Source organism: Homo sapiens, chromosome 1 (assembly GCF_000001405.40).
Source record: "Homo sapiens chromosome 1, GRCh38.p14 Primary Assembly".
In the NCBI taxonomy this organism is placed as follows: Eukaryota; Metazoa; Chordata; class Mammalia; order Primates; family Hominidae; genus Homo; species Homo sapiens.
This window is the reverse complement of record NC_000001.11, coordinates 172584713-172608050: the sequence shown is the minus strand read 5'-3', so window position 1 is coordinate 172608050 and position 23338 is coordinate 172584713. Positions and strand designations below refer to the sequence as shown.

At 35.6% G+C, this 23338-nt stretch overlaps 1 protein-coding gene across 8 annotated transcripts in view; it reads right to left on the bottom strand.

Annotated features, from left to right (window-relative positions):
- Nucleotides 1–23338, bottom strand: part of SUCO (SUN domain containing ossification factor) — a 79485-nt gene that overhangs the window by 3783 nt on the left and 52364 nt on the right. For 5 of the 8 annotated variants that reach the window (NM_016227.4, NM_014283.5, XM_006711374.3 and 2 more), the window contains 7 exons: nucleotides 22965–23033; nucleotides 22103–22193; nucleotides 18125–19291; nucleotides 16980–17067; nucleotides 7883–7987; nucleotides 5833–5987; nucleotides 5264–5355 (listed from right to left, as the gene is read on the bottom strand). In NM_016227.4, the coding sequence (NP_057311.3) occupies nucleotides 5264–5355; nucleotides 5833–5987; nucleotides 7883–7987; nucleotides 16980–17067; nucleotides 18125–19291; nucleotides 22103–22193; nucleotides 22965–23033 (1767 nt within the window). Of the gene's footprint in view, nucleotides 1–4900; nucleotides 4992–5263; nucleotides 5356–5832; nucleotides 5988–7882; nucleotides 7988–16979; nucleotides 17068–18124; nucleotides 19292–22102; nucleotides 22194–22964; nucleotides 23034–23338 lie in introns of all 8 variants that reach the window. The other 3 variants (XR_007060764.1, NM_001282750.2, NM_001282751.2) reach the window with 3 other exon arrangements.

Here is a 23338-nt window from a genome sequence, read left to right as displayed (position 1 = left end):
CCACACTGACAAAATAGACACACATTTTTAAAAGGCTATGAGACTTTAGTCCTATTCAATCCACTAAAAATAAACAATTTAAGGTCTGACAGAGACAAAAGCTTACACATAGTAAATTCACTACAGAAGCTCTACACATTTGGGAAATTTATTAATACAATTCAACCAATTATAATTTTTTACATTATATTTCAGAGATTTATTGAGAAAGTCATCAAATATATGAAAATATCAAAACATCCCTCTAAACAGTCATTTCTACCAGATTACTAATCTTAATTTACTTTCTTTAATAATGATGTCTATTTCTAGAAACAGTTATGTTATTCAGATCAACCTCTACAATGAAAGCAACTAAGTAATGATAGTTTGTTTTTTTTAAAAAAAATCACTAAAAGCATTGAAAAGCTGCCAAGAAAGTAATCCCTAGGCTAAAACTGAAAGAAAAGTGGGAACCCGGACAGTCAAGTAGAAGACAAAAGTCATTTTTGCCCTGAAAACATTTGCCAACACAAGAATATATGAACTTTGGTTCTGATGGTATCATAAGGGAATGGATCAGAAATCAGGTCCTAGGGCCCACCCAAAGTTTAGTGTAATAAGATACCATCTCCCTGTGTACAGTAAACTGAGACTCCAAAGGACTATATTCTCAGGTAAAGAATGAAGCCATGCATGAACTTGCAGTCCAAATTATCATCACCTGGTGGCCCAACAAACCACAAGTCATGAATGTAAGGTATTACATGAATGTAACACACACACAAATTCCCTCTCAAATAAGAACCTATATTCTAGGCCTCAAATTATCCCTACAAATAACTTTTCAAAGAGAAAAAGTAGCACACAAAGACACAACATACCCTGAGTAAGAGCTTACAAAGACAATGAACAGACTCACAAAAATTTAAGATATTAGATTTATCAAACACAAACTATAAAGATAATTATGCTTAATATGTCTAGAAAATAAGCTTGAAAATATCTGCAGGAAACATATAACAAGGAAAATACAGACCTGGATTTTTAAAAAATACAAAAAGAACTCCTGGAAATGGAAAAAATAACTGAAATTGAAAACCCAATGAATAAATTTGCAACAGTAAGACTGCTGGCCTGGAAACACATCAGAAGATATCATCCAAAATACAGCATAAAAAGTCAAAAAGGTGGAATGTTTACAAGACAGGGAAGATATACGGAGAAGTAATATGTTTAATTAAATATGAGAATCTAAAAGAGACTGGGGCACAGGGAATATCTGGGAGGAAAAAATAATGGTTGAGAATTTCTCAATAACAAGTAAAAGAAACCTACAAATCCAGAGCTCCAAAGAGCCTCACGAATCTCAAAATGATAAAGAAAAAGAAGAGGAGAATATTTCAGTTTTAACTAATGACAAATGAAAGCTCTGAAGAATAAAAACATTAGTAAACGTGGGGTAAATTTAAATGAACATTAAGTGTAAAAAGAAATACCTTGTTGAGTTAAAATTAAGCAGAAAGAATAGAATTAAAATATACAAGAACAGTAACATAAATAAGGCTTGGGACAAATAAGAGTTTTAAGATCTATGTATTGTTAAGGAGAAGATACAAGTATTGATGAACTTGAGACTTTGGCAAACATTAATACTTCTGACTTCTAGGGTAACTAGTAAAAGAACAGAACCAGTACACAACTTCCAACATAATGGCAGTAAAAGGGAATATTTACTTCCTCCCCAATAAAAAATCTTAATGAAAGCATGGAAGGGGAAAAAAAAAAAAAATTAAAAGGGATACCCCTGCCCATCTAATTTTTATAAACCTTACATACCAAAATCCAACATGAGAAAATATTACATGCCAATCTTATTCATATAGATGCAAAATTTCTAAATAATTATCTAACAAAATTATGTAGAAATAATATATACAATACAAAATTCACACACGTATATCATGAGCAACTGGTATTAAAAATGCAATATAAGTTTAACATTAGAAAATCTAATATAATTCATGTTTGTAACATTAAAAATGGAAATAAAATATAATATAAAAAAATTTATAGAATACCTATGACAATAGGTAACACATAATGACAAAATACAGAATAAAAAATCCACAAAACATCTATGACAAATACAATCTTAGCAATAAAACACTGTAAGCTTTCCCTTTGGAACAAGACAAAGATGCCTGTCAATCACTTTTATTTAACATTGCTGAAAATGCAAGCTAACACAGTTAAGAAAGCAAAGGAAATAAAAGCTATAAGGACTGCAAAGGAAAAAACAAAACTGTCTTTGTTCTCAGTATACGTACCTGTATTCACTGAAAATCCAAAATAATCTGCAAGTGAACTAGTAAAACGACACTGCTTATATAGAAAGTTCACCCTAAAATTCACATAAAATCTCAAGTGACCTCAAATAAGGAAAATAATTTTAAAAAGAATGAAGTTAGATAACTCACACTTCCAGATTTCAAAACACATTACAAAGGTATAGTAATCAAAGTGGTAGAGTACTGGCATAAACACAGACAAATACACCAATGGCACAAAATAAAGAACACAGAGATAAGCCCTCATGTACGTGGTCAACTCATTTTTAAGAAGGGTGCAAAGACCACTCAATGGGAAAAGGACAGTCTCTTCAACAAATGGTGCTGGAAAAACTGAATATTCACATTCCAAAGAATGAAACTGGACCCTTATCTTATACTATATACAAAAATCAACACAAAATAGATTAAAGACATAAATCTATAAAAGTCTTGGAAGAAAACAGGGGAAAAGCTTCATGACCTTGAACTTGATAATGATTTCTTGGATATGACCCAAAAGTACAGGCAACAAAAACACAATAGACAAATGGGACTTCGTTGAACTTAAAAACTGTACATCCAAGGACACAATCAAAACAGTGAAAAAGCAACCTAAAGGATGAAAGAAAATATTTGCAAATCATATTATCTAATGGGGGTTATAATCCATAACGGAGGTTATAAAGAATTCCCTGAACTTAAAAACAAAAAACTCAAACAATCCAACTAAAAAATGAGCAAAGAGATATCTGTATACCCCTGAACAGCACTACTCAAACAACAGCCAAGAGGGGAAGCAATCCAAATGTCCACTTACAGATGAATGGATAAAGGAAATGAGGTACATAAATAAAATGGATGGAATATTATTTCACCCTTTAATAGGAAAAAATTCTGTCACATGCTATAATGTAGATGAACCTTGAGGACATTATGTTGAGTGAAATAAGCCAATCACAGAAAGACAAATACTGTATGAATCCACTTATATGGGGTATCTGAAGTAGTTGAATTCATAGAAACAGAAAATAGAATAGTGGTTGCCAGGGACTGAGAGAGGGAGAAAAGGGGAATTGGTTAATGGACACAGAGTTCAGGTTTGCAAGACGAAAACATTCGGAAGATCTGTTTCACAACAATGTAACTATACTTACTACTAATGAACTGTGCACTTAAAAACTGTTAAAATGATAAATTTTATGTGCTTTTTATCACAATAAGAAAAAGACATGGTCTCTCCCACAGAGCTTAGAAGTGAAAATAAGGCAAGTAAAAATAGGTAAAATCAAAGCATACTATGATAAATGCCATAACAACAAGAACTTATCAAACAACAGAAGAAATAAATGAATTAACTATTGGTAGAATCAGGACTAAAGTCAGTCTCCTACCTACTCTACTCAACTTTCTTTACTGGTAAAGATACACCAAGATGACACTGTTGTTTAAAATAGAAGTAATTCTATTATCAGGTGCAAAAAGCTACTCTGTTTGGCCCTAAAAAATTGGATAAAGAGAAGAGAAATAGTAAGATAGTCACGATTTCACTTAAGACTAGAAATGCTGAGAAGCAAAAATCTAACGTATTTCCTAATTGCATGGGTATACCTCAAATAAGGAATGTTTAGAATATGAAGTAACTGTAACTCTCATACGCAGCTGATAGAAGGGCAAATTCATAAAACAGTGTGGAAAATTGTATGACAGTATTTACTAAAGCTGAACACACACATACCCTATGATTCACCAATCCCATTTCCAGTGTATACCCAACAGAAATGCACAGGTGTTTACCAAAAGTATGTAACAACCTCAAAATGAAAATAATCTAAATGTAAATGAATAATGTACAGTATACCTATATAATGGAATACTATAAGGAACGAAAATAAACAAATGCCTATAGTCAATGGCATGGTGAATCTCACAATGGTTACACATCAAAATACTGGCTACTCTGGGAAAGGATGGGCAGTGACTAAAAGAGCACAAGGAAGTTTTTGAGGTGCTCATGTTCTACTTCTTAATTTAGGTGTTATTTGCACAGCTGTATTGTTTGTGAAAATTCATTACGTTTTACACATAATTATACTTAAATTAAAAATTTCACTTATAAAAAGACATATCAACCAAAAGAAAAAGAAAAAAGCAAGGAGGAAGAAGAGATTTACTAGCTTTAAGTAAACACATGTAATGGGTTAAGTCTGTAAAGCTTTGTGATAATAATAAAACAGTGAAGCCCAGGAATGATTACTTGAATAATTTAATCAATTGAAACATGCTACTCAGTTACTAAATCCTACAACCATCGATTATTAAGAAAGCACTCCTAAATAAAATATGTAATTAATTTAGTTATTTTAATATTAGTATGAAAACAAATTTCTAATTCTATTAATATGCATTAATTACAAGATACTGAAATAGGAAAATATCCACTCAGTACACATCCATTCATTTAAATGTAAGTATTTATTTAGTGTTAGACAATGGAACCTAATTATAGGTTCTGGAGCTAAAAAAAAGAGACCAGATTTTTGTTCAGAAAGTGCCTCATAGTCCTAAACTAGAGACAAAAGGGGTCCTACCTGTATAAGAAGAGGAGGCAGAAAAGCACAGGATGCTATGGGAGCACATTCAGGTTTTCCATATCTGTTGAACTTTCTCAAACATCCCTTTCTAAAAAGAAATACTTCTAAACAGGAGCATGTGCAAACAAAGCTACCAACTGCTAATTAAACTAAGCCCCCCTCCCTACCCTCTGGGCTTTTAGGAACAAAGACAGATATAAAATGTGAAAATGATAAAGTGGCTTGACACAGCACAAAGACAAAGGCTACTTGTATCCATTTTTTGTTGCAGATGGTCATGAACACAACACTGACATTATATTTATGCCAGAAGCTAGTTTCATGTTTATATATACATATTATATATCCACAGAAATCTACCTTCTTTGCCAGTTAACTGTAGAGACTTGGATCTCATGAGTGGGAATGAAGTTCTTCTTTTCAAATTCATATCATCATAGGAAGAGAAACACCTAACACATTAGGAAAAATACATATTGGTTACAACGAGTAAAGCACATATAATTTACTCTTTTGTTGAGGCTACACAGAGGTTATTGAGAACTGTACATACCACACGGGACTAACTCTAACACTCCAGTTATTGCTAATACAGGTGGAAAAAAAAATTTAGAGATCTTTGTCTAAAAGGTACTGTATTAAAATAGTATTCTCTTCTTCCTTTGAATTCCACATTTAAGCATCTTTCTCAACCAAATATTTCAGGGGTTTCATGCACTTACTATTAGTGTTTTCTCTATTATAGTCTACAGAGCCAGGTTAGGCATAGGACCATCTTACTATCGAATGATGTTTTTAATGTTTTGGTTTCAAGATAATCATATAGGGAAAGAAATTACCTCAGTCTCCCTTTATTTGCTTAAAATTTCTCAAAAATATACAAAGCATAGTAAAAAAAATAAAATTGTGAAATATAATGCTGATATTACCTTTTAGGGCTTGGATACTGATTACTTTTAGGAAGTTTTGAAATATAATCTCCATCAAATTGAGAAGTATTTCGACAACGCTGCATACAAAGCATCAGTCCCAAGACAACACAAAGAACCAAAGATATGACAAGATAGCTTTGTCGATCTGAAACCTGAGATGAGAAGAGGGTTAAATAATAATCATAGGAAATCATATTAGGAAAAATATAAGGGTATCTAAAATTCAAAGGACAAATCATTTTAAGTATTTTTTTAATGTGCTTCAAAGACCAGAAATGCAGGGCATGCTCTTTGAAAATAAACTATGACATTAAAGAAAAAAAATTCTTTGCAGCATTCCAATTCTTTCTATAGGAGTGAAACCTATGGAAGTTTTAGAAATAAAACAAGAAATATATTTACACCTTTATCTATCTCACCAATTGTTAACATTTTGTCACATTTTGTTTGTCTTTCCATTTACACTATCTCCTCCTCAAGGAGAAAAAATAATTGTGCTTTTACCCAGTCTTTCCCATCTTATAAAATGAACTATCAACCACCCAGTTACGTAAGCCCAAAACTTAGAGATCAACCTTAGTTCCTTAAGGCTTATCTTTCTACAACTTACAAATATTCTGAATTCAACAAGTTTACACTGTTCTCCACTTTTAGAATCCTACTCTAAGTCAATACCACCTCATTCAGGCTACTGCAATTACTTTTTTTTTTTTTTTTGAGACAGAGCCTTGCTCTGTTGCCCAGGCTGGAATGCAGTGGTGTGACCTTGGCTTATTGCAACCTCCACCTCCTGGGTTCAACTAATTCTCCTGCCTTGGCCTCCCAAGCTCCCAAGTTGCTGGGATTACAGGCACATGCCACCACACCGGCTAATTTTCTTGTATTCTTAGAAGAGACGGCGTTTCATCATGTTGGCGAGGCTGGTCTCCACCTCCTGACCTCGAGTGATCTGACCACCTGGGCCACCCAAAGCGCTGGGATTACAGGCAAAAGCCATCATGCCTGGCCTGCAATTACCTCTTAATTGGTTTCCTGTCTGCTTCTGCTCCTGCTGTTCCCCAACAGGCAGTTCTCCACAAAGCAACAAATGGAGAGCTTCTCAAAGTGCTAAGCATTAATGACATGACCCATATCACTTCTTAATACTTCTAATGATACAAAGATTCAAATAAAATTCAAACTCTAAATTGTCTACGAAGTCCTACATGACCAGGCCTCTGCCAATATCTTGAACCCATTTCTCAGCTTCACTTTTCTCACTCACTCTGCTCCAGCCATACCAGCTTTCTTTCTGCTGTCAAACACATTACACTGTTTCTACTCTCCAGTCCTTTGCCCTAGTTCTGCTAGAAACAGGTTTGTTATCATTCCAGGCAATGTGTGGCTGCTAACTCCTCTTGAGTACTTAGTTGTAATACCACCTCCTCAGATAAGCCTTCCAAGATCACTCTAACTAAAGCAGCATCCCTTACTGCTACCACCCTACACACACACACACACACACACACACACACACACATTTAATTTTCTTCATAGTACGTATCACTAGGAGAAATTATCATCTATTTATTTATTTACTAAATGTATTCTATCCCTCCCCCAGGACGTAAACCCTGTGAGGCCAGGGACTATTAACTACCGTATACCACAACCTAGGAGTGTACAGCTCGCACTTCACATACACTAGATGCTCAATAAAAAGTTTTTAAATCAATGAAATGTTTGCTTTGTTAAGCAACTTTATAGGCCTTTTTGAATTGAAAATGAAGTACGTGTTGCTACTATCAATGCTTACAAAAGGCCTGCTAGAAGTTTTATACCTATATTATAGGTATGGCCTAAATTATGAAAGCCATATTTTACAAAAGACTATGATAATATATTTTCAAAACTTAAAAATGCCATATTCTGGTTTTTGAAAAAGTTCACTACAAATGACAATTTTGTTTGGTCAAAGTTTTAGGTACCATGTTCATGTTAACAAGCCTGGCTTTATGACAACCTCTATACATGCATTGGGTCTCGCAATACCAGCAATAACAATTACCTCCCGTTTCAATTCTGCTACTGTTGCTGATAAATTTGAAACAAGCTGTGTCATGTTGGTCAGCTGTGCCTGTAGCAACTGGATGGCTTCAGTTTGCCGCTGATCCTATGATAAAGGAATTTATTTTTTTTTGAATATTAACTACAAACTATTAACATTATAAATTGAAGTCAAATAATCTAAAAAAAACCATTAAGTTATTCCAAAACAAATGTATTAATAGGAATCTCAATGAGTAAGTAAACTTTGAACAGAAATTTTAGAAATAAACAAAACACGAAGTATCTGGGACCGTGTCTAACCCTCCCCAACAAGAATTATTATTTATTTATTTTTGTCACCCACTGCTACAATGTGAAATACTGTATAACAGAATTTGGTAAATTACTTTTCAAATTAACATGTGTTCCATATATATAAACTAGCATATAACCAGAAATATTTAAGAAGTCAGTGTTTTTAAAGCAAAGCAGTTGGCGCAAAGACAAATTGAAAATTTTCTGAAGAATTTTTTTGGTTATAAAGTAGGCCCAAAACCAAGTTTTAAAAATTTCCTTCATAGCATATTATATTGGAACTTAGGATGGTACATAGTGAAATATCCATAATTGTTCATCCAACCAATGCTAAAATATCACCAATGAAAGAAATGCATCAAAAATGCCTATCTTTCCATCTGTTTTAGGCAGCACTGAATTTTAGAAACTTTTATAATCAACAAAGATGTCTTATTTATAATATAGTTTGTATGCATACTTTAGGGAATTCTACATCACAATCATAGTTATGACCCTGTATTAGGGAGACTTTAACTGAAAATTTCAACTTTTATTTTTTTTTGAGACGGAGTCTCGCTCTGTCGCCCAGGCTGGAGTGCAGTGGCGCAATCTCAGCTCACTGCAAGCTCCGCCTCCCGGGTTCATGCCATTCTCCTGCCTCAGCCTCCCGAGTAGCTGGGACTACAGGTGCCCGCCACTATGCCCGGCTAATTATTTGTATTTTTAGTAGAGACGGGGTTTCACCGTGTTAGCCAGGATGGTCGAAAATTTGAACTTTTAATAAAGTTAGGGAGGAGGAAACGAGGGCAGGAAGAAGTCAAGGAAATCTAAAACTCTTTTAGGACCTTATATGAAATATCTACATAGCTATTTATTATTCTAGACCTAAGTTTTTCATATTTTGATTCAAAAACTTTTTTAAAAAGCTGTGTACCTGTGTGTGGAGAGGGGGGGTGTATAAAACTGTAACAAAATATTTCACTTACTTCCCTTACTGTGATCCACTATGGTACTTTCTATCCTACTTCATCTTTCCAAAATGCTAAATGTGACTTTTTAAATTGTTTCTTTTGAATCCTGACTTACATTTGACTCTGATGAATTCAAGACAGTTATAAACATTTAAAGGACAAGCTATTAAAGTTAGTAAGTTGATTAACACTTCTAATCAGGATTAACTTCCAATACTATTAATATACAACATTGTTGAAAAGTACTCACATAAGTCTTTGAGACACAAGACATAGATGCTACATATCAGCAAAGAGAAAATACAGAGGAAGGGGCTTTCGTATTCAAACTAATGAAAGCTAAATAACACACTGCGTTCATGAGTCAGAAGCCTTAATATTAAGATGACATTATGCAAATTAATCTATAAATTCATCAACACAATCTCAATCAAGATTCAATTTTGGTAGAGATTAACAAGCTGAGCCTAAAATCCACACAGAAACGCAAAAAACTACTACAGCCAAAACAATCTTGTAAAAGAATAAAATTGGAGGACTTAACATTAGCTGACTAAAAATGTTAATATAAAGCTACAACAAACATAACATTGTGTTATTACCTTAAAGATAGACAAGCAGATCAATAGAACAAAAGCCCAGAAACAGACCCACATATATATGGTTAACTGATTTTTATCAAATATACAAAGGAAATTCTGTGGAGAAAGGACGCTCATTCCAACGAATGATTCTAGAACAAATGGATGTCTATATGCTTTGCTCTTCTAACCCTGACTTTCCAAAAAGAACTTTGATCCATACCCTGTAACACATCAAAGTTAACTCAAAATGAATCATGGGCCTAATATAAAACTAAACTATTAAGCTTCTAGAAAAAACAAAGGAAAAAATCTTTGTGATTTTGCGTTAGGCAAATATTTCATAGAGCAAAGAGAAAACTGATATATTGGGCTTCAACAAATCAAAAACTTCTGCTCTTCAAACCACACTGTAAAGAGAATAAGAAAACAAGTAATGGATTGGGAGAAAATATTTGCAAAGTGTATCTCCAATTTATAACGTGCCATGAATAGGAAAGTAAGATGCACCTAACAAAACTCCGCAGTATAAGGCCTCCTCACTTCACCATCCCCGAGACCCAAATAACCTTTTAGAAAAGTGTAAAATTTCTTTATTATGTGACAACACACATATCACACTAGAGGTGCAATACTAGAATAGTTCCCTTAAAATCAGCAAGATAGGGGAACGGTCATAATTACCAGTCCTATTGTATCACTATATGGCTCTAGCCAAGAGATAGGGGGAAAAAAAAGGTATGACGATCAAAAAGAAGAAACAAAGCCGTTCTTACTTGCAGTCAATAAGATTATCTACATTAAAAAAAATACAAACAAAAATATTTTAGAGTTTAACAAAGTTGCAGGAAAGTCCTCTATGTTTCTATTTAACACACACACACAATGTACTATGAATAATGCTAAAGAAAACTTTCTTGGAAGGTTCCAAGATGGCCGAATAGGAACAGCTCCAGTCTACAGCCCCCAGCATCAGCGACGCAGAAGACGGGTGATTTCTGCATTACCAACTGAGGTACTGGGTTCATCTCAGTGGGGCTTGTTGGACAGTGGGTGCAGCCCATGGAGTGTGAGCCAAAGCAGGGCGGGGCACCGCCACACCCGGGAAGTGCAAGGGTGAGGGAATTCCCTTTCCTAGCCAAGGGAAGCTGTGACAGATGGTACCTGGAAAATTGAGACGCTCCCACCCTAACACTGTGCTTTTCCAATGGTCTTAGCAAATGGCACACCAGGAGATTATATCCCGTGCATGGCTCGGAGGGTCCCATGCCCACGGAGCCTCGCTCACTGCTATCACAGCAGTCTGAGATTGAACTGCAAGGCAGCAGTGAGGCTAGGGGAGGGGCATCTGCCATTGCTGAGGCTTGAGTAGGTAAACAAAGCAGCCAGGAAGCTCGAACTGGGTGGAGCCCAGCGCAGCTCAAGGAGGCCTGCCTGCCTCTGTAGACTCCGTCTCTGGGGGCAGGGCATAGCTGAACAAAAGGCAGCAGAAATTTCTGCAGACTTAAACGTCCCCGTCTGACAGCTTTGAAGAGAGTAGTGGTTCTCCAAGCATGGAGTTTGAGATCTGAGAATGAACAGACTGCCTCCTCAAGTGGGTCCCTGACCCCCGTGTAGCCTAACTGGGAGGCACCTCGCAGTAGGGGCCAACTGACACCTCATATGGGGCCGGGTGCCCCTCTGAGACAAAGCTTTCAGAGGAAGGATCAGGCAGCAACATTTGCCATTCTGCAATATTGGCTGTTCTGCAGCCTCCACTGGTGATACCCAGGCAAACAGGGTTTGGAGTGGACCTCCAGCAAACTCCAGCAGACCTGCAGCTGAGGGTCCTGACTGTGAGAAGGAAAACTACCAAACAGGAAGGACATTCCACCAAAACCCCATCTGTACGTTACCATCATCAAAGACCAAAGGAAGATAAAACCACAAAGATGGGGAGAAACCAGAGCAGAAAAGCTGAAAATTCTAAAAATGAGAGCGCCTCTTCTCCTCCAAAGGAATGCAGCTCCTCGCCAGCAACAGAACAAAGCTGGATGGAGAATGACTTTGACAAGTACACAGAAGTAGGCTTCAGACAACTGGTAATAACAAACTTCTCTGAGCTAAAGGAAGATGTTCAAACCCATCACAAAGAAGCTAAAAATCTTGAAAAAAGATTAGACGAATGGCTAACTAGAATAAACAGCATAGAGAATACCTTAATTGATCTGATGGAGCTGAAAACCATGGCACGAGAACTACGTGACTCATGCACAAGCTTCAGTAGACAATTCGATCAAGTGGAGGAAAGGGTATCAGTGATTGAAGATCAAATGAACGAAATGAAGCGAGAAGAGAAGTTTAGAGAAAAAAAGAGTAAAAACAAATGAACAAGGACTCCAAGAAATATGGGACTATGTGAAAAGACCAAATCTACATTTGAATGGTGTACCTGAAAGTGACGGGGAAAATGGAACCAAGTTGGAAAACATGCTGCAGGGTATTATCCACGAGAACTTCCCCAACCTAGCAAGGCAGGCCAACATTCAAATTCAGGAAATACACAGAACGCCACAAAGATACTCCTCGAGAAGAGCAACTCCAAGACACATAATTGTCAGATTCACCAAAGTTGAAATGAAGGAAAAAATATTAAGGGCAGCCAGAGAGAAAGGTCGGGTTACCCACAAAGGGAAGCCCATCAGACTAACAGTGGATCTCTTGGCAGAAACTCTACAAGTCAGAAGAGAGTGGGGGCCAATATTCAACATTCTTAAAGAAAGGAATTTTCAACCCAGAACTTCATATCCAGCCAAACTAAGCTTCATAAGTGAAGGAGAAACAAACTGCTTTACAGACAAGCAAACGTGAGATTTTGTCACCACCAGGCCTGCCTTACAAGAGCTCCTGAAGGAAGCACGAAAAGTGGAAAGGAACGATTGGTACCAGCCACTGCAAAAACATGCCAAATTGTAAAGACCATCAAGGCTAGGAAGAAACTGCATGAACTAACGAGCAAAATAACCAGCTAACATCATAATGACAGGATCACATTCACATATAACAATATTAACCTTAAATGTAAATGGGCTAAAAGCTCCAATTAAAAGACACAGACTGGCAAATTGGATAGTCAAGACCCATCAGTGTGCTGTATTTAGGAGACCCATCTCATGTGCAGAGACACACACAGGCTCAAAATAAAGGGATGGAGGAAGATCTACCAAACAAATGGAAAACAAAAAAAAGCAGGGGTTACAATCGTAGTCTCTGATAAAACAGACTTTAAACCAACAAAGATCAAAAGAGACAAAGAAGGCCATTACATAATGGTAAAGGGATCAATTCAACAAGAAGAGCTAACCATCCTAAATACATATATGCACCCAATACAGGAGCACCCAGATTCATGAAGCAAGTCCTTAGAGACCTACAATGTACAATGAGACTCAGACTCCCACACAATAATGGGAGACTTTAACACCCCACTGTCAACATTCGACAGATCAATAAGACAGAAAGTTAACAAAGATATCCAGGACTTGAACTCAGCTCTGCACTGAGCCAACTTAATAGACATCTACTGAACTCTCCACCCTAAATCAACAAAATATACATTCTTTTCGGCACCACAAAATTATTCCAAAATTGACCACATAGCTGGAGGTAAAGCACTCCTCAGCAAATGTAAAAGAACAGAAATTATAACAAACTGGCTCTCAGACCACAGTGCAATCGAATTAGAACTCAGGATTAAGAAACTCACTCAAAACTGCTCAACTACATGGAAACTGAACAATCTGCTCCTGAATGACTACTGGGTACATAACGAAATGAAGGCAGAAATAAAGATGTTCTTTGAAACCAATGAGAACAAAGACACAACATACCAGAATCTCTGGGACACATTTAAAGCAGTGTGTACAGGGAAATTTATAGCACTAAATGCCCACAAGAAAAAGTAAGAAAGATCTAAAATTGATACCCTAACATCACAATTAAAAGAACTAGAGAAGCAAGAGCAAACCATTCAAAAGCTAGCAGAAGGCAAGAAATAACTAAAATCAGAGCAGAACTGAAGGAGACAGAGACACAAAAAACCCTTCAAAAAAAAAAAATCAATAAATTCAGGAGCTGGTTTTTTGAAAAGATCAACAAAATTGATAGACCACTAGCAAGACTAATAAAGAAGAAAAGAGAGAAGAAAAAAATAGATGCAAAAAAATTGATAAAGGGGATATCACCACCAATCCCACAGAAATACAAACTACCATCAGAGAATACTATAAACACCTCTACGCAAATAAACTAGAAAATCCAGAAGAAATGGATAAATTCCTGGACACATACACCCTCCCAAGACTAAACCAGGAAGAAGTTGAATCTCTGAATAGACCAATAACAGGCTCTGAAATTGAGGCAATAATTAATAGCCTACCAACCAAAAAAAGTCCAGGACCAGACAGATTCACAGATGAATTTTACCAGAGGTACAAAGAGGAGCTGGTACCATTCCTTCTGAAACTGTCCCAATCAACAGAAAAAGAGGGAATCCTCCCTAACTCATTTTATGAGGCCAGCATCATTCTGATACCAAAGCCTGGCAGAGACACAACAAAACAAGAGAATTTTAGACCAATATCCCTGATGAACATTGATGCAAAAATCCTCAATAAAATACTGGCAAACCGAATCCAGCAGCACATCAAAAAGCTTACCCACCACGATCAAGTTGGCTTCATCCCTGGGATGCACGGCTGGTTCAACACATGGAAATCAATAAATGTAATCCATCATATAAACAGAACCAAAGACAAAAATCACATGATTAACTCAACAGATGCAGAAAAGGCCTTTGACAAAATTCAACAACCCTTCATGCTAAAAACTCTCAATTAACTAGGTATTGATGGGATGTAGCTCAAAATAATAAGAGCTATTTATGACAAACCCACAGCCAATATCATACTGAATGGACAAAAACTGGAAGCATTCCCTTTGAAAACTGGCACAAGACAAGGATGCCCTCTCTCACCACTCCTATTCAACATAGTGCTGGAAGTTCTGCCCAGGGCAATCAGGCAGGAGAAAGAAATAAAGGGTATTCAATTAGGAAAAGAGGAAGTCAAATTGTCCCTGTTTGCAGATAACATGACTGTATATTTAGAAAACCCCATCATCTCAGCCCAAAATCTCCCTAAGCTGATAAGCAACTTCAGCAAAGTCTCAGGATATAAAATCAATGTGCAAAAATCACAAGCATTCCTATACACCAATAACAGACAAACAGAGAGCCAAATCATGAGTGAACTCTCATTCACAATTGCTTCAAAGAGAATAAAATACCTAGGAATCCAACTTAAAAGGGATGTGAAGGAACTCTTCAAGAACTACAAACCACTGCTGAAGGAAATAAAGGAAGACACAAACAAATGGAAGAACATCCCATGTTCATGGGTAGGAAGAACCAATATCGTGAAAATGGCCATACTGCCCAAGATAATTTATAGATTCAATGCTATCCCCATCAAGCCACCAATGACTTTCTTTACAGAATTGGAAAAAACTACTTTAAAGTTCATAAGGAACCAAAAAAGAGCCCACATTGCCAAGACAATCCTAAGCAAAAAGAACAAAGCTGGAGGCATCATGCTACCTGACTTCAAACTATACTACAAGGCTACAGTAACAAAAACAGCATGGTAATGGTACCAAAACAGAGATATAGACCAATGGAACAGAACAGAACCCTCAGAAATAATACCACACATCTACAACCATCTGATCTTTGACAAACCTGACCAAAACAAGAAATGGGGAAAGGATTCCCTATTTAATAAATGGTGCTAGGAAAACTGGCTAGCCATATGTAGAAAGCTGAAACTGGATCCCTTCCTTACACCTTATACAAAAATTAATTCAAGATGGATTAAAGACTTAAATGTTAGACCTAAAACCATAAAAACCCTAGAAGAAAACCTAGGCAATACCATTCAGCACATAGGCATAGGCAAGGACATCATGACTAAAACACCAAAAGCAATGGCAACAAAAGCTGAAATTGACAAATGAGATCTAATTAAACTAAAGAGCTTCTGCACAGCAAAAGAAACTACCATCAGAGTGAACAGGCAACCTACAGAATGGGAGAAAATTTTTGCAATCTACCCATCTGACAAAGGGCTAATATCCAGAATCTACGAAGAACTGAAATTTACAAGAAAAAATCAAACAACCCCATCAAAAAGTAGGGAAAGGATATGAACAGACACTTCTCAAAAGAAGACATTTATGCAGCCAACAGACACATGAGAAAATGCTCATCATCACTGGTCATCAGAGAAATGCAATTCAAAACCACAATGAGATACCATCTCACACCAGTTAAAATGGCAATCATTAAAAAGTCAGGAAACAACAGGTGCTGGAGAGGATGTGGAGAAATAGGAACACTGTTACATTGCTGGTTGGACTGTAAACTAGTTCAACCATGGTGGAAGACAGTGTGGCGATTCCTCAGAGATCTAGAACTAGAAATACCATTTGACCCAGCAATCCCATTACTGGGTATATACCCAAAGGATTATAAATCATGCTGCTATAAAGACACATGCACACGTATGTTTACTGTGGCACTATTCACAATAGCAAAGACTTGGAACCAACCCAAATGTCCAACAATGATAGACTGGATTAAGAAAATGTGGCACATATACACCATGGAATACTATGCAGCCATAAAAAAGGATGAGTTCATGTCCTTTGCAGGGACATGGATGAAGCTGGAAACCATCATTCTGAGCAAACTATCACAAGGACAGAAAACCAAACACTGCACATTCTCACTCATAGGTGGGAATTGAACAATGAGAATACTTGGACACAGGGTGGGGAACATCACACACCAGGGCCTGTTGTGGGGTGGGGGGAGGGGGGAGGGATAGCATTAGGAGATATACCTAATATAAATGACGAGTTAATGGGTACAGCAGCAGCACACCAACATGGCACTTGTATACATATGTAACAAACTTGCACGTTGTACACATGTACCCTAGAACTTAAAAGTATAATTAAAAAAAAAATTAAACAAATCTTTCTCTACAGAAGATAATGATGCTAATAGCTATGTAACTTTCCAAACATGACATCACATTAATATAACAGGCTTAAACACCAGCTAGCAGGGGGAAAAAGTGAAACTACAATACTTACTGTTTACCAGTGAGACCCTACAGAATTCAGTGGAAATTTATATAAAAAGTAAATAAGGGATGTAGAAACCAACCTGCTCCTCTGCTATTCTTGAAGTATTCTGAAGTTTCACGATTGTTTTATTGAAAGCCTTTTGCATTTCTTCCATTTGTTTTCGGTACCTATGAAGTAAGAATTGGTCTAAATCAGCTTTAATTTCTTACTTATTCCACTTAGTAATGGAAACATACTTCTGATTTTGATATATGAGACAAATCTATTTTTCTGAAAGTGACTCTTATTCAGGCCTATGCAATACAATTCTATTTATCTTCTGCTATGTAAAATTTAGTAATTTCTGTGGTTCCCTTGGGATGCAGATGGAGGTAGGGAAAAGTAAGAGCAGGTATGGGGTAGCTAAGTGGGCATGTTACACATGAACACACACACACACATGATTAGCCAATTAATTCTATGTATGGATTAGAAAAATTTCCTACTTCAGATATAAGACTGCCTTGGTGACACCTTATTAGTGGCATTTCAATTTAAGAGATGTAAGAAAAGGTGGTGTTTCAGGAACTCTGGACACTTGTGCCTAGATGTTTGCAAAACGTTGGTAGAGAAGCCCTAAGGACAGACAATGGACACACAGAGGATAAAAAAAAGAGTAAATAGGTTTAAAAAGCCAGGCCTGGTGTCTTAATGAATTGGCACTGTCTCTGGCACTTAAAAGCAGAAATTATTACAACTAGAACTAGGATGCCGAGACCTGTTTAAAAGAGAGCAAACTGCAAATGTGCCCAATCATCCAGTTCAGTCCATCTCTGTCTTCACTTATCTAAACTCTTAAGTGATATCTGGTCAAATTCCACTAAAAGCTTTAAGGTCTATATACTATCATTTTTTTCCATGAGCCCTCTGGGAATCAAGCAGAAAAAGTGGCTAAAGTTAAGCAACCGAAAAAAGGTGAAAGTGAGTATAGATAATTCAAACTTGTTGCCAGCCTAATAAAAGTGTTTTGTCACTGGAAAGTACTTTTAAAATTAAAAACAAAAAATCAATTCATTAAGGCACTGATCAGCATTCAAGTAGCTTTCTTTCTCTCTCTTGCTAAAATTGCGCTTACCTCTATTATATCATGAGATAATTAAATCCTCTCCTGTAATCACAGGTCATACTCTATGCTGCTTAACTCACTGTGTGAAGCTGACTGTGCTAATTCATAATAAAGCTTACCTTTGGCTAAGCTCCTCCAGATAGCGACCACTGAGAGACATGTTAACTTCTAAGGCTTTAATACGATTATTAAGTCTCATAAATACTGACTCCTTTTGGTTTGATCCATGTACAAGATTTCCATTAGCATATCCTAGATCTGTAGAATTTTGCAATTCAGCATAAAAATCTGTAGCTGTCCTCTGTAACCCTCTCAAAAGGGCATCTTCTGGAGACTGTTCTTCTTCTTTTACTTCAGGTAATGAAGAAGAATCCACAACAGAAATCAAAGTTTGCTTTGCTGTGTCAGCTATATTCATTTTGGCTTCCCCATCTTCATTGTCGGGTACAGTGGCTGTATTTATTGGTGGCACTATTGTTTCAGACAGCTTTGTGAAAATTTGCATGGAGTTCACATCTTCTTTTATAATATTATCCATTAACTCATTAACTTTATTTGTTTCATAGGTAATAGATGGTTTCTCTATAGAACTAAAGCTCTCAGACTTTTGTTCTGTTTCATTATCGATCTCAACAGAACTCTCTTGGGGAATCACTGGTGATGGTATATGTCCTGCCTCATATTCAACAGACTCAGATACTTCTATTTTAGGCAAGGGATTGATTTCTGGGGTAATATCTAAAAGAAGAGACTGAGAAAGAGTTTGAGAATGGCTTGGTTCAAGTTCAACTGCATCTACAGTGTGATTCACCAAGTCATCCTGGTGCATACTACTACTTAAATCACCCAGAACAACAGTTTCAGCTTCCCTTTCTATATTCGTATTTTCCAATTCTCCACTCAGAGGTTGCAATACTGAAACATCTACTGATTCCGCAGGAAGTAGTAAGGGTGGTTGAGCTAACACAAGATAATCTTTTCCTTTACTCAAAGCAGTTCGGCTGCGCTGCCGATAAAGAGCAACTCTAACTGAACACCATTTATATATGTATTCTGAAAAACTAGAAATACAACAAATTGTGGTCAGTTCACTGCAAAATATTTGTGTCTCTGACTCAAACCAGGGTGATGATTCATCTTCCTGTTCACCGCTGCCCAGAAGGGTCACTGTAGATGGACTTGCCTCCTCTTCCTCCTCTTGAACTAACTGTACAATGGGACTCTCTTTTGGAGTATCTGGTGTTGACGGCTCCATGTCATGTGTGTGTACTTCAGTGGTTACATACCTAGAAATACATATATCATAATTATAAATCACTTACTTAGAAGTCTAAAGTTGAAATATGTTAAAGAAAAATAAATGTATCCATACAGAAGATAAAAGGTTGGAAATATAGAAGAAATTTGTTTTTGGATAAATGTTTCACCTACAAAACACTTTTATTATAAAAACAAATACTGCTCAGAAATGATAAGAGAAATACTATTTATCAAGTGACTAGCCAGATGACTCAAACCACCATATTTACCATATCAAACTTGCTTTCTTTTAATCTGTTTAAGAATTGTTTCTAAGTGAATACTTCCATTCACTGAATGTAGTGTTCCTTTCCTCTCATAAATATTCACTGAATCTTTACAAGCTTCACTATCCCTTACACATCAGAAATTAAGCCAACTAAGAGCTAGCTTAATAAACTAGCTTAAATAAGGTCCAGAGCTAAAACTAGAATCTAGGATTCTTAATATTTATGAGTGCACTTTGTACTTGAATACCCTATTTTCAAAAGGCAGCTAGGTTGGTCTCAAACATAATTTTTCTAAGAATGATTTGAGGAACTCCAATACAGCATTAAACACACAACGCACACACACACCTACACACATAGGATTATCTACTTTAAGGACAAGAAACATATCTCCCTTCCTAAAATAATTTTGCTATCATCTAGGCTAATCTTCTAAGCCAAATACCTAACCACTTTAATAACAATTCTGGCTTATGATATGCTAACAGTGCTGCTATTAAACTACTAGTGCCACTATTAATATTCTATCCCATTTTGAGGCTGTGGAGTATGTATGTGGCATACAGGAGAGTGGGGGGATGAAGCTTATGGGGACAGTGTTATAAATTATAATGCTTGTGATTCCTTCCAAGATAAAGATAGTTAATTACTGGGTGTAGCCTTATACATAAAAAGTCCAATATGAAAAAATATGGTAATTTCAATACCAAAAATAATTATGCTCAAACACACATTTTCCCATTCTGAAAAATTACTAAGCATGCCAGGAAATGTCTTCAAATAAAGACTAATGTCACAATAGCAAAGACAGAAGAAAGTAATAAAATAGTATCTATGATGTAGACTTTCATTTTGGTAGTAAAACAGTAAATGGACCAAATTAAAACATAATTAGACTACACTTCGGTAAATAAAAAGATATTTATAGCCATATATATTTAGTCTCTAATAATATTTCTTACATATTCAGGTAATATATTGCTTTTCTACCAAATAATTTATGACAGTAAAAACAAGTAATGTCTGAAGAAGGGGAGAGAGAAAAATTATATTGAATTTGGTAAAAAATACTGAATACAGATGTTATATCCCATCATACACACTGTAATCAGAAATATACTTTAAAAGTTTTTTCTCAAATTCACATGGCAAAACCTACTAAAACCTAGGAAAAGAAAATAAGTTGGCTTTCCGTAACTTTAACAGTGACATCCTATCATGGATTCCTTCATTTTCACATATTTGCTTCAAAAGATTACTTCAAAAGCATTAAAAAGAATTTAAGACAAACATGAAGAAATACTGAATAAGAAATTATGCAAAAATATCTATTAAAAAACTAATATGGAAAAATAAAAACTGCTACGTTAGCCTGTGACTACAGCTTTCAACAAATATTCCTACTTGTGCACATATGTGTATGAAAGTGTGTACATATATATATAAAAAACCAAATCAGTTTTATTTAGTTTTGAAAAATACGACATAGCGTGTTGTTAACTGAAGAAACCTAGTTACAAAATCAGGAACAGCAATCACAGCTCCACATAATTAGAAACACCAAGAATGTCTCTATCCCCAATAGATTTCTTAGGTCCTTTTCAGAATCAATAACACATACGCTATATTTTCTAATTACCCAATAAATATCTCCAGTAACTTTCAGGATTAACACAGGATAATATAATTTTCTCACTATGCCTTTCAAAGCATCAAAATATCATTTTTGAAATAGTATAGTTCTCAGGAATTGCAGTTCAAAGCATACCCACTGCAGGTCTCATTACATACTATCTTGAACTAAGTGGTTCATTTCAAATATCTTATACTCTTTAAGTAGAGTTGTTCTAAGATAAAGGACTTGCAAAGTTTTGTAGGGAGTGTATCTAATGAAATATACATAAATTAAGTCTACAATAACTACCTGATTATCCAAATCATTATAAGCTTATTATTTATTATAGGTAAGAAGTAGAGGTACCAACTAAAGTAACCACCTCTGGCAGAAAAGACAAAAAAGGTAAAAGATATATCTATTACCTATTTAGATACATCCCTGCCCAAAGTGTCCCCACTGCAACCTGGGGAAAGGCCTACATGATTCAGAGAAATGGAACAGTTAAGAGCTTGCTGTGTGGCAAATACATTATTCAAGAACCACTGCTCTAGGTATTTTGGTAGCTTTCTAGGGATACCACAGATCAATGCTTTTAAACTTGAACTTAATAAAAAAAAGGGGGGGCCTTTAAAATTTGTCCTCAAGCCTATACCTGCAGAGTAAGGTCAATTATTTCCAGTATGGAAAAGAGTCACTGTTGTGAATAATGAAAGTAATATATAATACCCCCCCCAAAAAAAGTTTGATCTGAATTATATTCCCAGTATGCATATACACTAATGGGAAGAAGCAACTCAGATTTTCTAAGTGGCCACAGAATGTCTATCCTATGATTCAGAGCTCTCTACAGGTAATCATTTCACACACAAATCACAAATTCCTTTTTTTATACTAATATACTTATCTCTCCATTGTAACAAAATTCTATTTAATATCACATTATAACTTACTCAGGAGATGGAACAGGAGTTGAAACAGGAGTTGATTCAGGCATTTTAGGTGCAGCTGTGGCAGTGGCATTCTCAGATATACTTTTATTTCCTATTTTAAGAAAGATGCCCAATGTTGAGTTCAATTTTAAAAGCTGTACCATGAAAATATTTTACTAAAACAAATTTCTTGGAAGAGAAGAAAAAAGCCAAATAGGTTTGCTACTGCAGACTTTTTCTTAAAAAATCAAAGTTCTTTTAGGAAGAAATGATCATATAAGATCACAAGTAATATATATCGTTTCTCAATTTCTCAGATAATTAAATCAAGTCAGGTGACTATGAATGTTGTGTAACCTTACGTGATTAATATGCCTTCTAGATACTGAAAGAGTTGTTAAATGAGAGGAAATAAATGAGTCATTTTAAGTGTTCACTTGGATCTAAGCATTTTTTAAAAAAACAAAAAGGCAAGACTGTTTCTTCTTGCCAAAAATATTATCATCTGTCATTCTCTAAGGAAAAGATGGCTTTCTAAATCAAGTAGCTATTTAACACATAAAAGAATAACATACTTGAAGTACCATTAGGACATCAAAATCTCGGTAAAGAGATAAGGAATAAAATCATTGCTATTAATATTAGAGCTAGGAGAAGTCAAAAGGCAAATTCATAAGTTTTATATAGACAGTATTCTTTTATAAAACAGAACTTGTGAAATTCAAATAAACAATGAATAATAAAGATTGGTAAGTTCCTCTGAATTATTTCTATATTTCTAAATGTAAACAATCAAATTTTCTTAACTCATTACTTGATTTTCCTAAATATAAGGATCCCTGGAGTACCAGCTATTTAAAAGACCCATAAAATGATTAGGTACCTTCTGTCAGGTCTTCAGTTTTTGCTCCCAGAATATTAGCAGCAATATTCACCATATTTAGAATGGCATCTAAAACAAAATTCAATCAGAAAAAGTACCAAATACCTAAATATTCTAATATAAATTAATATCAGATAGTCAAAAAATCATTTAGAATGATCTTTTGCATTTTTTGACTGGTTACTTTTGTATTCACCTCACAACTAAAGTCCAATATAGGACACAAATAAATTTTAGCCAAAAGTGTAAAGTGTGTATCTAAATTTTTATGTTCAAAAGGAATTTTATATTTAAATATACTTTTCGTTTTGGAGACGGAGTCTTGCTCTGTTGCCCAGGCTGGAGTGCAGTGGTGCAATCTCGGCTCACTGCAA